The sequence below is a fragment of the Homo sapiens genome, chromosome 20, assembly GCF_000001405.40.
Source record: "Homo sapiens chromosome 20, GRCh38.p14 Primary Assembly".
Classification (NCBI taxonomy): Eukaryota; Metazoa; Chordata; class Mammalia; order Primates; family Hominidae; genus Homo; species Homo sapiens.
This window is the reverse complement of record NC_000020.11, coordinates 5016792-5029863: the sequence shown is the minus strand read 5'-3', so window position 1 is coordinate 5029863 and position 13072 is coordinate 5016792. Positions and strand designations below refer to the sequence as shown.

The window sequence follows — 13072 nt, the reverse complement described above, 5'->3', positions numbered from 1 at the left end:
AGCCTCCAGAGCAGCTGGGATTACAGGCGCCTGCCACCACGCCGAGCTAATTTTGTATTTTTAGTAGAGATGGGGTTTCTCCATGCTGGTCTGGCTGGTCTGGCTGGTCTCGAACTCCTGACCTCAGGTGATCCGCCCACCTTGGCCTCTCAAAGTGTTAGAATTATAGGCATGAGCCATCACACCTGGCCCCCTTGATTTTAATCAGTACAATTACAGCACAGAGTTTTAAAAATGGTCTGCAGGGGAAAAAAATAGATAAAAATGACTTGCATGTAGCATCTGAATGCAGGAAAACGAAGGTAGGAGGTGGGTCAGGAGAGCAGAGAACAGAAACAAGCAGAAGTGTTCAGATAAACTGAAGTTATGTGTGCGTACAGAGACCAGATATCTCAGATCTCTGATTCCATGCTATTTTGTAGGGTTTTTTCTTCTTCTCTCTCTCTTTTTTTTCTTCCAAGACAGAGTCTTGCTCTGTTGCCCAGGCTGGAGTGCAGTGGTGTCATCTCGGCTCACTGCAACCTCCGCCTCCCGGGTTCAAGCAATTCTCCTGCCTCAACCTCCCCAGTAGCTGGGATTACAGGCAAGCGCCACCACGCCTGGACAATTTTTGTATTTTTAGTAGAGATGGGGTTTTGCCATGTTGGCCAGGCTGGTCTCGAACTCCTGACCTCAAGTGATCCTCCCACCTTAGCCTCCCAAGATGCTAGGATTACAGGCATGAACCACCACACCTGGCCTATTTTGTATGTTTTAATAGTTAAATATGTATAGCATATAACTATGTAACGTAATGCTTTTACCTTTATCAGACCATGCATTCTATTCATACTTCTTAGTACAGACAAGACAGTAGGGTCACCAGACCCATGAGATGGGCCAAACACAGCCGCAACATTCTTCCTAAAGTATGTAAGCGGCAGCTGTTATAGATCATCCTTTCCTTGGTACCTCTAGGAGTCCTATTTAAAAAGTACCTGCATTCCTCAAATAGTCAAAACAACATTGAAAAAGAAGAGCAAAGTTGAAGGACCCATACCTCCTGATTTCACAACTTACTACAAAGCCACAGTAATGAAAGCAGTGTGATACTGGCATAAGGACAGACATAGAGACCAACAGAAGACAATAGAGAGCCCCAAAATAAACCCTTGTATTTATGATCAATTGATTTTCTTTTTTTTTCTTTTTTTTTTTTTTAATTTATTTTTTTATTGATAATTCTTGGGTGTTTCTCACAGAGGGGGATTTGGCAGGGTCATGGGACAATAGTGGAGGGAAGGTCAGCAGATAAACAAGTGAACAAAGGTCTCTGGTTTTCCTAGGCAGAGGACCCTGAGGCCTTCCGCAGTGTTTGTGTCCCTGATTACTTGAGATTAGGGATTGGTGATGACTCTTAACAAGCCTGCTGCCTTCAAGCATCTGTTTAACAAAGCACATCTTGCACCGCCCTTAATCCATTTAACCCTGAGTGGACACAGCACATGTTTCAGAGAGCACAGGGTTGGGGGTAAGGTCACAGATCAACAGGATCCCAAGGCAGAGGAATTTTTCTTAGTGCAGAACAAAATGAAAAGTCTCCCATGTCTACTTCTTTCTACACAGACACGGCAACCATCCGATTTCTCAATCTTTTCCCCACCTTTCCCGCCTTTCTATTCCACAAAGCCGCCATTGTCATCCTGGCCCGTTCTCAATGAGCTGTTGGGCACACCTCCCAGACGGGGTGGTGGCCGGGCAGAGGGGCTACTCACTTCCCAGTAGGGGCGGCCGGGCAGAGGCGCCCCTCACCTCCCGGACGGGGCGGCTGGCCGGGCAGGGGGGCTGACCCCCCCCACCTCCCTCCCGGAGGGGGCGGCTGGCCGGGCGGGGGGCTGACCCCCCCATCTCCCTCCCGGACGGGGTGGCTGCCGGGCGGAGACGCTCCTCACTTCCCAGATGGGGTGGTGGCCGGGCTGAGGGGCTCCTCACTTCCCAGTAGGGGCGGCCGGGCCGAGGCGCCCCTCACCTCCCGGACGGGGCGGCTGGCCGGGCGGGGGGCTGACCCCCCACCTCCCTCCCGGACGGGGCGGCTGGCCAGGCGGGGGTGCTGACCCCCCACCTCCCTCCCGGATGGGGCGGCTGGCCGGGCGGGGGCTGACCCCCCCCCACCTCCCTCCCGGACGGGGTGGCTGCCGGGCGGAGACGCTCCTCACTTCCCAGATGGGGTGGCTGCCGGGCGGAGAGGCTCCTCACTTCTCAGACGGGGCAGCTGCCGGGCGGAGGGGCTCCTCACTTCTCAGACGGGGTGGTTGCCAGGCAGAGGGTCTCCTCACTTCTCAGACGGGGCGGCCGGGCAGAGACGCTCCTCACCTCCCAGACGGGGTCTCGGCCGGGCAGAGGTGCTCCTCACATCCCAGATGGGGCGGCGGGGCAGAGGCGCTCCTCACTTCCTAGATGGGATGGCGGCCGGGCGGAGACGCTCCTCACTTTCCAGACTGGGCAGCCAGGCAGAGGGGCTCCTCACATCCCAGACGATGGACGGCCAGGCAGAGACGCTCCTCACTTCCCAGACGGGGTGGCGGCCGGGCAGAGGCTGCAATCTCGGCACTTTGGGAGGCCAAGGCAGGCAGCTGGGAGGTGTAGGTTGTAGTGAGCCGAGATCACGCCACTGCACTCCAGCCTGGGCACCATTGAGCACTGAGTGAACGAGACTCCGTCTGCAATCCCGGCACCTCGGGAGGCCGAGGTTGGCAGATCACTCGCGGTTAGGGGCTGGAGACCGGCCCGGCCAACACAGCGAAACCCCGTCTCCACCAAAACCAGTCAGGCGTGGCGGCGCGTGCCTGCAATCGCAGGCATTCGGCAGACTGAGGCAGGAGAATCAGGCAGGGAGGTTGCAGTGAGCCGAGATGGCAGCAGTACAGTCCAGCTTCGGCTCCGCATGAGAGGGAGACCGTGGGGTGAGGGAGAGGGAGAGGGAGAGGGAGAGGGAGAGGGAGAGGGAGAGAGAGAGCCGATCAATTGATTTTCAACAAAGGAGCCACTACCTTTTAATGTAGAAAAGACAGTTTCTTCAACAAATAGTGCTGGGAAAACTGGATATCCACATGCAAAAGAAGGAAGTTGCATCCTTACCTAACACCATATACAAAAATATTACCCAAAATGGATCAAAGACCTAAACATAACAGTTAAAACTATGAAACACTTAGAAAAAAATCTTTATGACGTTAGATTCGGCAATAATTTCATAGATAGGACTCTAAAAGTATAGGTAACGAAAGAAAAATAGATAAACTGGACTTCATCAAAATTAAAAAGTTTTGTACATCAAAAAACACTATCAAGAGAGTGGGGCCAGAAGGCACATGTTCTCAGGACTTCTTGAGGCTGTGTCTCAGAAAAAAAAAAAAAGAGAGAGGGTGAGGCTGGTCACGGTGGCTCACACTTGCAATCCCAGCACTTTGGGAGGCTGAGGTGGGAGGATCACTTGAGCCCAGGGGTTCCAGATGGGCCTAGTCAAACCCTCATCTCTACAAAAACTAAAAAATATTATATACATATACATATATATACACACATATATATATACACATATATATACATATATACATATATATACATATATACATATATATATGTGTGTGTGTATATATATATATTAGCCAGGCATGGTAGCACATGGCTGTAGTGCCAGCTACTCCAGAGGGTAAGGCAGGAAGATCGCTTGAGCCCAGGAGGTCAAGGCTGCAGGGAGCCGGGATCATGCCACTGCACTTCAGCCTAGGTGACAGAGCAAGACCTCATCTAAAAAAGAAAAGAAAAGAAAAGAAAAGAAAAGGAAAGAAAAGAAAAGAAAAGAAAAGAAAAGAAAAGAAAAGAAAAGAAAACAACTAGAGGTGGGAGGATCGCTTGAGCCCAGGAGTTCAACCAGGCTGCAGTGAGCCATGATCACACACCACTGCACTCCAGCCTGGGCGACAGAGACTCCGTCTCTAAAAAACATTTTTTTTTTTTGAGACGGAGTCTCACTCTGTCGCCCGAGCTGGAGTGCAGCAGTGTGATCTCGGCTCACTGCAAGCTCCGCCTCCTGGGTTCAAGCAATTCTCCTGCCTCAGTCTCCCAGGTAGCTGGGATTACAGGTGCCCGCCACTACACCCAGCTAATTTTTTGTATTTTTAGTAGATGGGGTTTCACCATGTTGTCCAGGCTGGTTTCGAACTCCTGACCTTGTGATTTGCACGCCTCGGCCTCCCAAAATTCTGGGATTACAGGTGTGAACCACCGTGTCCGGCCTAAAAAAATTTTTAAAACCACACAACAAGAGACAAGACAGTGAAAAGACAACTCACAGAATGGAAGAAAATAGTTGCAAAACATGTATTTGATAAAATATTAATATCCAGTATATATAAAGAAATCCTACAATTCAACAACCAAACAAACAATCCAATTCAAAAGTAGACAAAGAAAAGAAGCCAGGCATGGTGGTATGCGCCTGTAGTCCCACCTACTTGGGAAGCTGAGGATTGCTTGAGCCCAGGAGTTTGAGGCCAGCCTGGGCAACACAACAAGGCCAGGCCAGTCTCAAAAAAAAAAAAAAAAAAAAAAAAGCAAAGCCTTGAACAGATGTTTCTTTATTTTTATTTATTTATTTATTTTGAGACAAGGCCTCACTCTGTCACCCAGGCTGGAGTACAGTGGCGCAATCACAGCTTGCTGCAGCCTCTATCTCCCGGACTCAACCAGTCCTCCCATCTCAGCTTCCCTAGTAGCTGGGACTTCAGGCACACACTACACCCAGCTAGTTTTTGTATTTTGTATAGAGAAGAAGTTTCACCGCGTTACCAAGGCTAGTCTCAAACCTCCTGGGCTCAAGCAATCTGCCTGCCTCAGCCTCCCAAAGTGCTGGGATTACATGTGTGAGCCACCGTGCCTGGCCAGTGTTTCTTTAAAGAAGATAGAAAAATGGCTGGGCACGGTGGCTCATGCCTATAATCCCAGCACTCTGGGAGGCCAAGGCGGGCAGATCACTTGAGGTCAGGAGTTCGAAACCAGCCTGCCCAACATGGTGAAACCCTGTCTCTACTAAAAATACAAAAATTAGCTGGGCATGGTGGCGCATGCCTATAGTCCCAGCTACCAGGGAGGCTGAGGTGGGAGAATCTCTTGAACCCTGGAGGCAGAGGTTGCAATGAGCCGAGATCAAACCACTGCACTCTAGCCTGGGCGACAAAGTGAGACCCTGTCTCAAAATTAAAAAAAAAAAAAAAAAAAAGAAGAAGATACAGAAATGGACAACAAGCACATAAGGAGATGGTCATCGTTACTAATCATTAGGGAAATTCAAATCAAAACCACAATGAGATGCTACTTCACACACACTAGGCTAGCTATTATAGAAAATAGAAAAATAAGTGTTGGCAAGAATGGGGAGAAATTGAACCCCTTGTGCATTGCTGATGGGAACATAAAATGGTGCAGCTGCTGCAGAAAATGGTACGGCAATTCCTCAAAAATCTAAATATAGAACTGCTATATGAGTCAGCAATTCCACTTCTGGGTACATGCCCCAAAAAAGTGAAAACAAGGTCTTTCAGAGATATGCGTACACCCACATTCACAGCAGCATAGCCAAGGGGTGACAGCAACCCAAGTGTCCATCGATGGACACATTGATGAAATATGATATATGCATACAGTGGAATATTATTCAGCCTTAAAAGGCAAGGAACGTGCTCCAATACAGATGAAGCTTGAGGACGTTGCGCTAAGTGAAATCATCCATTTACAAAAAGACAAATATTATATGATTCCACTTGTATGAGGTGCCTAGAGTCATCAAATTCATAGAGACAGTAGAAGGGGCTTGCCAGGGACTGGTGGGGAGAGAACATGGGGAGTTAATGTGTCATGGGTAGAATTTCAGCTGGGGAAGATGAACGTGTTCTGGAGATGGATGGTGGTGATTGTTGCATCACAATGTGAATGTTCTTAACACCACAGAACTGTACATTTAAAAATAGTTAAAATGGGCCGGGCACGGTGGCTCATGCCTGTAGTCCCAGCACTTTGGGAGGCCGAGGCAGGTGGATCGCCTGAGGCCAGGAGTTCAAGACCAGCCCGTACAACATGGAGAAACCTGGTTTCTACTTAAAATACAAAAAATTAGTTGGGCATGGTGATGGGTGCCTGTAATCCCAGCTACTCGGGAGACTGAGGCAGGAGAATCGCTTAAACCTGGGAGGTGGAGGTTGCAGTGAGCCGAGATCGCGCCACTGCACTCTAGCCTGGCAACAAGAGTGAAACTCAGTCTCAAAAAAAAAAAAAAAAAGGTTAAAATGATATATCTTATCAAAATAAAAAAAGTAATTGCCTTGCATCATCAATAATGAGACAAAGCAGGGTGTGGTGGCTCATTCCTGTAATCCAGCACTTTGGGAGGCCTAGGCAGGAGGATTGCTTGAGCCCAGGAGTTCAAGGCCAGCCTGGGTGAGTCAGACCCCATCTCTAAAAATAAATAAATAAAGATAAAGCCTGGGCGCAGTGGCTCACGCCTGTAATCCTAACACTTTGGTAGGTTGAGGTGGGCGGATCACCTGAAGTCAGTAAGACCAGACTGGCCAACATGGCAAAACCCCATCTCTAGTAAAAATACAAAAATTAGCTGGGCATGGTGGCACGCACCTGTAATCCCAGCTACTGGGAGGCTGAGGCAGGAGAATCGCTTGAACCTGGGAAGTGGAGGTTGCAGTGAGCTGAGATCGCACCACTGCACTCCAGCCTGGGCAACAGAGTGAGACTCTGTCTCCAAAAAAAAAAAAAAAAAAAGATGAATAAATAAGACAAAGAAACAAACGAACAACATACACATTGCAGTGAGTTGTGACTGTGCCACTGCAACCTAGCTTGAGTGACAGAGAGAGACCCTGTCTCTAAAATAATAATAATGAAACAAAACAACAATAATTTTTCCTGATACGATTCACTGGGAAGGATATGACATCACATCCTTGATTCCTGTCATAAATATTTAATCTAGATCATGATGAGTAAACATTAACAAACCCAAATTGAACGACATTCTGCAGAATAAGTTACCTGGAGTTTTCAGACACATCAACATCAAAAAGAGGTGGCCTGGCATGGTGGCTCATGCCTGTAACCCCAGCACTTCGAGAGGCTGAGGCAGGCTGACCTCATGAGTTCCAGACCAGCCTGGGCAATTTGGCAAAACCTCATCTCTACAAAAAACACAAAATTAGCTAGGCATGGTGGCACGTGTGCTTGTGGTCCCAGCTACTTGGGAGGCTGAGGTAGGAGAATCACTTGAGCCTGGGAGGCAGAGGTTGCAGTGAGCCAAAATTGCACCACTGAACTCCAACCAGGGCAACAGAGCAAGATCCTGTCTCAAAAAAAAAAAAAAAAAAAAAAAAAAAAAAAAGAGAGGTAAGGAAACTGCCCAGATTAAAAGATATTAAAGAGACATAGCAACTAAATGTAACAGGCGATCTTTGATTGGACTCAGGACCAAAAAGAAAACAAATCGGCCAGGCACGGTGGCTCACACCTGTAATCCCAGCACTTTGGGAGGCCCGGGTGGGCAGATCACAAGGTCAGGAGATCGAGACCATCCTGGCTAACACGGTGAAACCCTGTCTCTACTAAAAATACAAAAAATTAGCCGGGCATGGTGGCGGACACCTGTAGTCCCAGCTACTTGGGAGGGTGAGGCAGGAGAATGGCATGAACCCGGGAGGCGGAGCTTGCAGTGAGCCCAAATTGCGCCACTGCACTCCAGCCTGGGCGACAGAGCAAGAGTCCGTCTCAAAAAAAAAAAAAAAAGAAAAGAAAAGAAAAAAATCTACAAAGGACATTATTGGGACAATTGGAGAAATTTGAATGTAGACTGAATATTAGAGACCAGTGCTAATTTAACAATGATAAATTTCCTGTGTGTGATACTGCCGTTGCATAGGAGAATGTCTTTGTTCTTTTTTTAATTTAATTTTATTTTTTGAGACAGAATCTGGGTCTGTTGCCCAGGCTGGAATGCAATGGCATGATCTTGGGTCACTGCAACCTCTGCCTCCTGGGTTCAAGCGATTCTCCTGCCTCGCCCTCCCGAGTAGCTGGGACTAAAGGCGCATGCACCACCACGCCCAGCTAATTTTTGTATTTTTTTAGTAGAGATGGGGTTTCACCATGTTGGCCAGGATGGTCTCCATCTCCTGACCTCGTGATCCACCCACCTTGGCCTCCCAAAGTGCTGGGATTACAGGCCTGAGCCACCTCACCCAGCCCCAGTTAATTTTTGTATTTTTAGTAGAGACGGGGTTTCACCATGTTAGCCAGGCTGGTCTTGAACTCCTGACCTCGTGATCTGCCCACGGGTGACGGAGTGATACTCTGTCTCAAAACAAACAAACAAACAAACACAAAACTATGGAGAAAAGTGTAAAAAAAAAAATGACCACCTTCTCAGGAGGGTACTAACTGGGAAGAGGCATGAGGAAAATTTCTCGAGTGATGGAAACACTATATGTTGAACACGGTGGTGGTCTCATGGGTGTATACAGGGATAGAAATTCATCCAGATGCATAAATTGAGCTTCAACAAAAAAATTAAATATTAATAGTATTGAAGACTGTTCTTGGGCTTTGACCCACTGGCCACAACTTCTTGTTGGCCTAAGGCCTTCGTGCTCTATGTTTGAGTGTAGTAACACTCATGCTCTATGTTTGAGTATAGTAACACTCAAAAAAGGGTGGTTATTGTACCTTCGGAGCTGGGTTATGGCTGACCCTCCCAGGCTCTGGGCAGCTACTGTGGTGCCCCACCTGCAGGAAGCAGAGAGGAGCCAAGATTGAAAGGGAGTATTAACTCCCGGAAAGGACGGGATTTACTAGCAGGAAAAGGAAAAGTTTTGTGTAAAGCACATGGCACCGGGCTGGGAACCTTGCGTTTCCTCCTTAGGGCTTTCTGACTCATGCTTCCCTCTGCTCTGTTTCAAGGTCTTTGCACACCTGCCTCTTCTTGGTCCCAGGACCAAGGTGCCTCCTTAGAGAGGCCTTCCCTGATGCTTCACCAAACATGGTACCCACCTGTATTCACTGCCATCCTGCTCCATTTGATTCCTAAGTCACAATTTGCAATGATCTCTCTTTTGTATTTGTTGACTTGTCCCTAACTCTATTTTAATTGCAACCTCCTAAAGAGCAAGGACTTTAGGTACCACCGGGCTTAGCACGGTCCCCAACTGGAAGTAAGCGCTCTGCCAACATTGATGGCATCAGTAAATAGTATCTGTTAATAAAATGGGGAAATTATTGATATTGTTGAATCAAAGGAGTAGAGGGTGTTTTTTCTTTCTTTCTTTCTTTCTTTTTTTTTTTTTTTTCCTGAGACGGAGTCTTGCTCTGTCGCCCAGGCTGGAGTGCAGTGGCGCAATCTTGGCTCACTGAAACCTCTGCCTCCCGGGCTCAAGCGATTCTCCTTCCACAGTCTCCCAAGTAGCTGGGACTACAGGCATGCACCACCATGCCCTGCTAATTTTTGTATTTTTAGTAGAAACAGAGTTTCACCATATTGGCCAGGCTGGTCTTGAACTCCTGATCTCAAGTGATCCACCTGCCTCGGCCTCCCAAAGTGCTGGGATTACAGGGGTGAGCCACGGTGCTGGCCTTAGAGGGTAGTTTTGAGAAAGAGCTTAGAGGGGGCTGAGGAGTGGCAGAAGTCAGGTATTCATGGAGGGAAGGGGAGTGTGGAGGGGAGGGGAGTACAAGGGCGGCGAGAATGAGAACAAAGTCAGCAGGATTAGTGTGTGTTGATGGAGATTGAGGTTGATGGGAAATTTCAAAGCTTAGTGAAAATAGCTCCAGATCAATAGAGATGGGGATCTTAGGACTATAATTCCTATGGTGGTCTCAAACTCTGGGGCTCAAGGGATCCTCCTGCCTTGGCCTCCCAAAGTGCAAGGATTATAGGTGTGAGCCACTGCACCCAGCCAATAATTATTATTTATGGCTGCCATTTAGTGTTTCCTACAATCTTTTGGGGAAAGGACTACCTGCGGGAACTCAAGCAAGTTGTTTATTTATTTCTTTACTTTGAAACAGGGTCTCACTCTGTCATCCAGGCTGGAGTGCAGTGGCTTGAACATGGCTCACTGCAGCCTCAACCTCCCGGGTTCAAGCAATCCTCATCCCCCCAAGTAGCTAAGACTACAAGCATTCACCACCACACCCGGCTAATTTGTTTTGTAATTTTTGTAGCGACAGGGTCTCGCTATGTTGCCCAGCTTGGTCTTGAACTCCTGGGCTCAAGTGATCTGCCTGCCTGGGTCTCCCAAAGCGCTGGGATTACAGGCATGAGCCACTGTGCCTAGGCAAATTATTAACCTCCCTGAGCCTCAGTCTCCCTTGGTCACATGGGGGCAATAAATGTGCCTACCTCATAGGTTGTTGTGAGGATTAAGCAAAAATAACAGTTGCAAAGTCTTTGGAACAGTCTGTAGCTGGATCACAGTAAAGTGCTCAATAAATGTCACTACCATTATCATTTTTAAAAAATATTTTGTATTTTTTGAGACTGAGTCTCACTCTCTTGCCCAGGCTGGAGTACAGTGGCGTGATCTCAGCTCAGTGGAACCTCCTTGATTCAAGCGATTCTCCGGCCTCAGCCTTTCAAGTAGCTGGGACTACAGGTGCATGCCACCACACCCAGCTAATTTTTGTATTTTTAGTAGAGATGGGGTTTTGCCACGTTGGCCAGGCTGGTCTCGAACTCCTGACCTCAGGTGATCCACCCACCTTGGCCTTAAAGTGCTGAGATTACAGGCATGGGCCACTGCACTCGGCCTTACTATTATTATTTTTTCACTATTATTGTAATTGACCCATTTCACAGGTGAATAATTTGATGCCCAGAGAGGCTAAGTAACTTTTCCAAGCTGGTATAGCTGGGTTTTTTTCCAGTCTGGCTCTCCTGTCTGTCCCCACTGCCACAGAATTAATTCCTCACTTCCCACCCATACTTTTTTTTTTAACCTTTTCAGTAGTCTTCTTTCCATCTGTCTCTTCCCACACGTCTCCACCCTCCATGGTGTGATCTTGGCTCACTGCAACCTCCACCTCTTGGGTTTAAGTGATTCTCCTGCCTCAGCCTTCTGAGTAGCTGGGATTATAGACGTCCACCAGCATGCCTGGCTAATTTTTTTTATTTTTATTTTTTAGTAGAGACAGAGTTTTGCCATGTTGGCCAGGCTGGTCTTGAACTGCTGACCTCAGGTGATCCATCAGCCTCGGCCTCCCAAAGTACTGGGATTACAGGCATGAGTCACCGAGCCTGACCCCTAAGAAACATTTTAAATGCCTACATGGAGTGTTAGTGGACACTCCAGGTGCACCCTCCACATGCTGAAAGGTCCCATGACCACTTCTGTGGGTCACCACCCTGGATTCTCTGGGCTTTTGCTTCCAAAGGCTTACATCTATATTCTCTTTGAAGAATTGTCCTCAGGCTACTGGAACTGCTCTGCCTAAAAACACAAAGAGGCTAGGAGCTTACTGTCTTACTGTGTTACTTGTCTTGACTGACAAGTGCTGTGATATGAGGCCCAGCTCCCTTGCCTTGAGTAGGAACAAACTTGGAGATACAATTTATTCTCCAGAACTCCATGCAGATCAGGCTAAGGCTGAGACCTTACCTAAAATCACCCATCTCTCTTTTTTTCTTTTTTAAGACAAGGTGTCTCCGTCACTCGGACTGGAGTGCAGTGGTGCAATCATGGCTCACTGCAGCCTTGAACTCCTGGGCTCAAGTGATCCACTTGCCTTGGTCTCTCAATGTGTTGGGATCACAGATGTGAGCCACCACACCCGGCCCATCACCCTCCTTTTAGCTCCTTCTCCTTTCCTATTCTACTTTCCCTTACTGTGAGAAATTCCCTTACCAGGACAGGCATGGCAGCGCGTGCCTGTAATTCTAGCACTCTGGGAGGCAGGAGGATCTCTTGAGTCCAGGAGTTCAAGACCATCCAAGGCAGCAAGAAAGACACTCCCTTTACCAGTTTCTCTTGGGAGCCTTTCCTTTATAAATTACTCACAAACAAACCTTTATCTCAGATCTGCTTCTAGGGAATTTTATTCTATTATTAGTTTTTTTGAGATGGAGTTTCGCTCTTGTTACCCAGGCTGGAGTGCAATAGCACAATCTCGGCTCACTGCAAACTCTGCCTCCCAGGTTCAAGCGATTCTCCTGCCTCAGCCTCCGAGTATCTAGGATTACAGGCATGTACCACCATGCCCAGCTAATTTTGTATTTTTAGTAGAGACAGGGTTTCGCCCTGCTGGTCAGGCTGGTTTTGAACTTCCGACCTCAGTTGATCCACTTGCCTCAGCCTCCCAAAGTGCTGGGATTACAGGTGTGAGCCACTGCGCCCGGCCTTTTTTTTTTTTTTTTTTTTTTTTTTTTGGGGACAGAGTCTCACTTTGTTTTCCAGGCTGGATTGCAGTGGTACGATCTTGGCTCACTGCAACCTCTGCCTTCCAGGTTCAAGAGATTCTCCTGCCTCAGCCTCCCGAGTAGCTGGGATTAAAGGTGTGTGCCACCACACCTGGCTGATTTTTGTATTTTTAGTAGAGACGGTGTCTCACCATGTTGACCAGCCTGGTCGTGAACTCCTGACCTCAAGTGATCCACCCGCTTCGGCCTCCCAAAGTGCTGAGATTATAGGCATGAGCCACTGCACCCGGCCTAATTTTTAAATTTTTGTTAAGATGGGCTCTCCCTGGTTCTGCTGAGAGAGCAAAACACAGAACAAAAATTTAAAAAATAAAAAGAGCAAGATAAAACAAAACAAAAAATTAAAAAAAAAAAAAAAAGAGAAGGAGACAGGGTCTTCCTATGTTGCCCAAACTAATCTCAAGGTCCTGGACTCAAGCGACCCTTCTGCCTCAGCCTCCCAAAGTGCTGAGACGGCGGGTGTGAGCTGCCTCACCCGGCCATGAACGCAGTTTTGCACCATCATTTTCCTCTTTACTCCCTTTATCTGGGTGAGTACTAATTTCTGTGGCATGTGTTATTGGC

At 47.8% G+C, this 13072-nt stretch overlaps 1 annotated feature.

Annotated features, from left to right (window-relative positions):
• Window positions 1168-1697: an enhancer, noted in NCBI's record as "NANOG-H3K27ac hESC enhancer chr20:5008813-5009342 (GRCh37/hg19 assembly coordinates)". NCBI's record gives its function as "activates a minimal SCP1, AML or CMV promoter by ChIP-STARR-seq in naive H9 embryonic stem cells {active_cell/tissue: H9 hESC(naive)}" and the evidence as "EXISTENCE:reporter gene assay evidence [ECO:0000049][PMID:30033119]".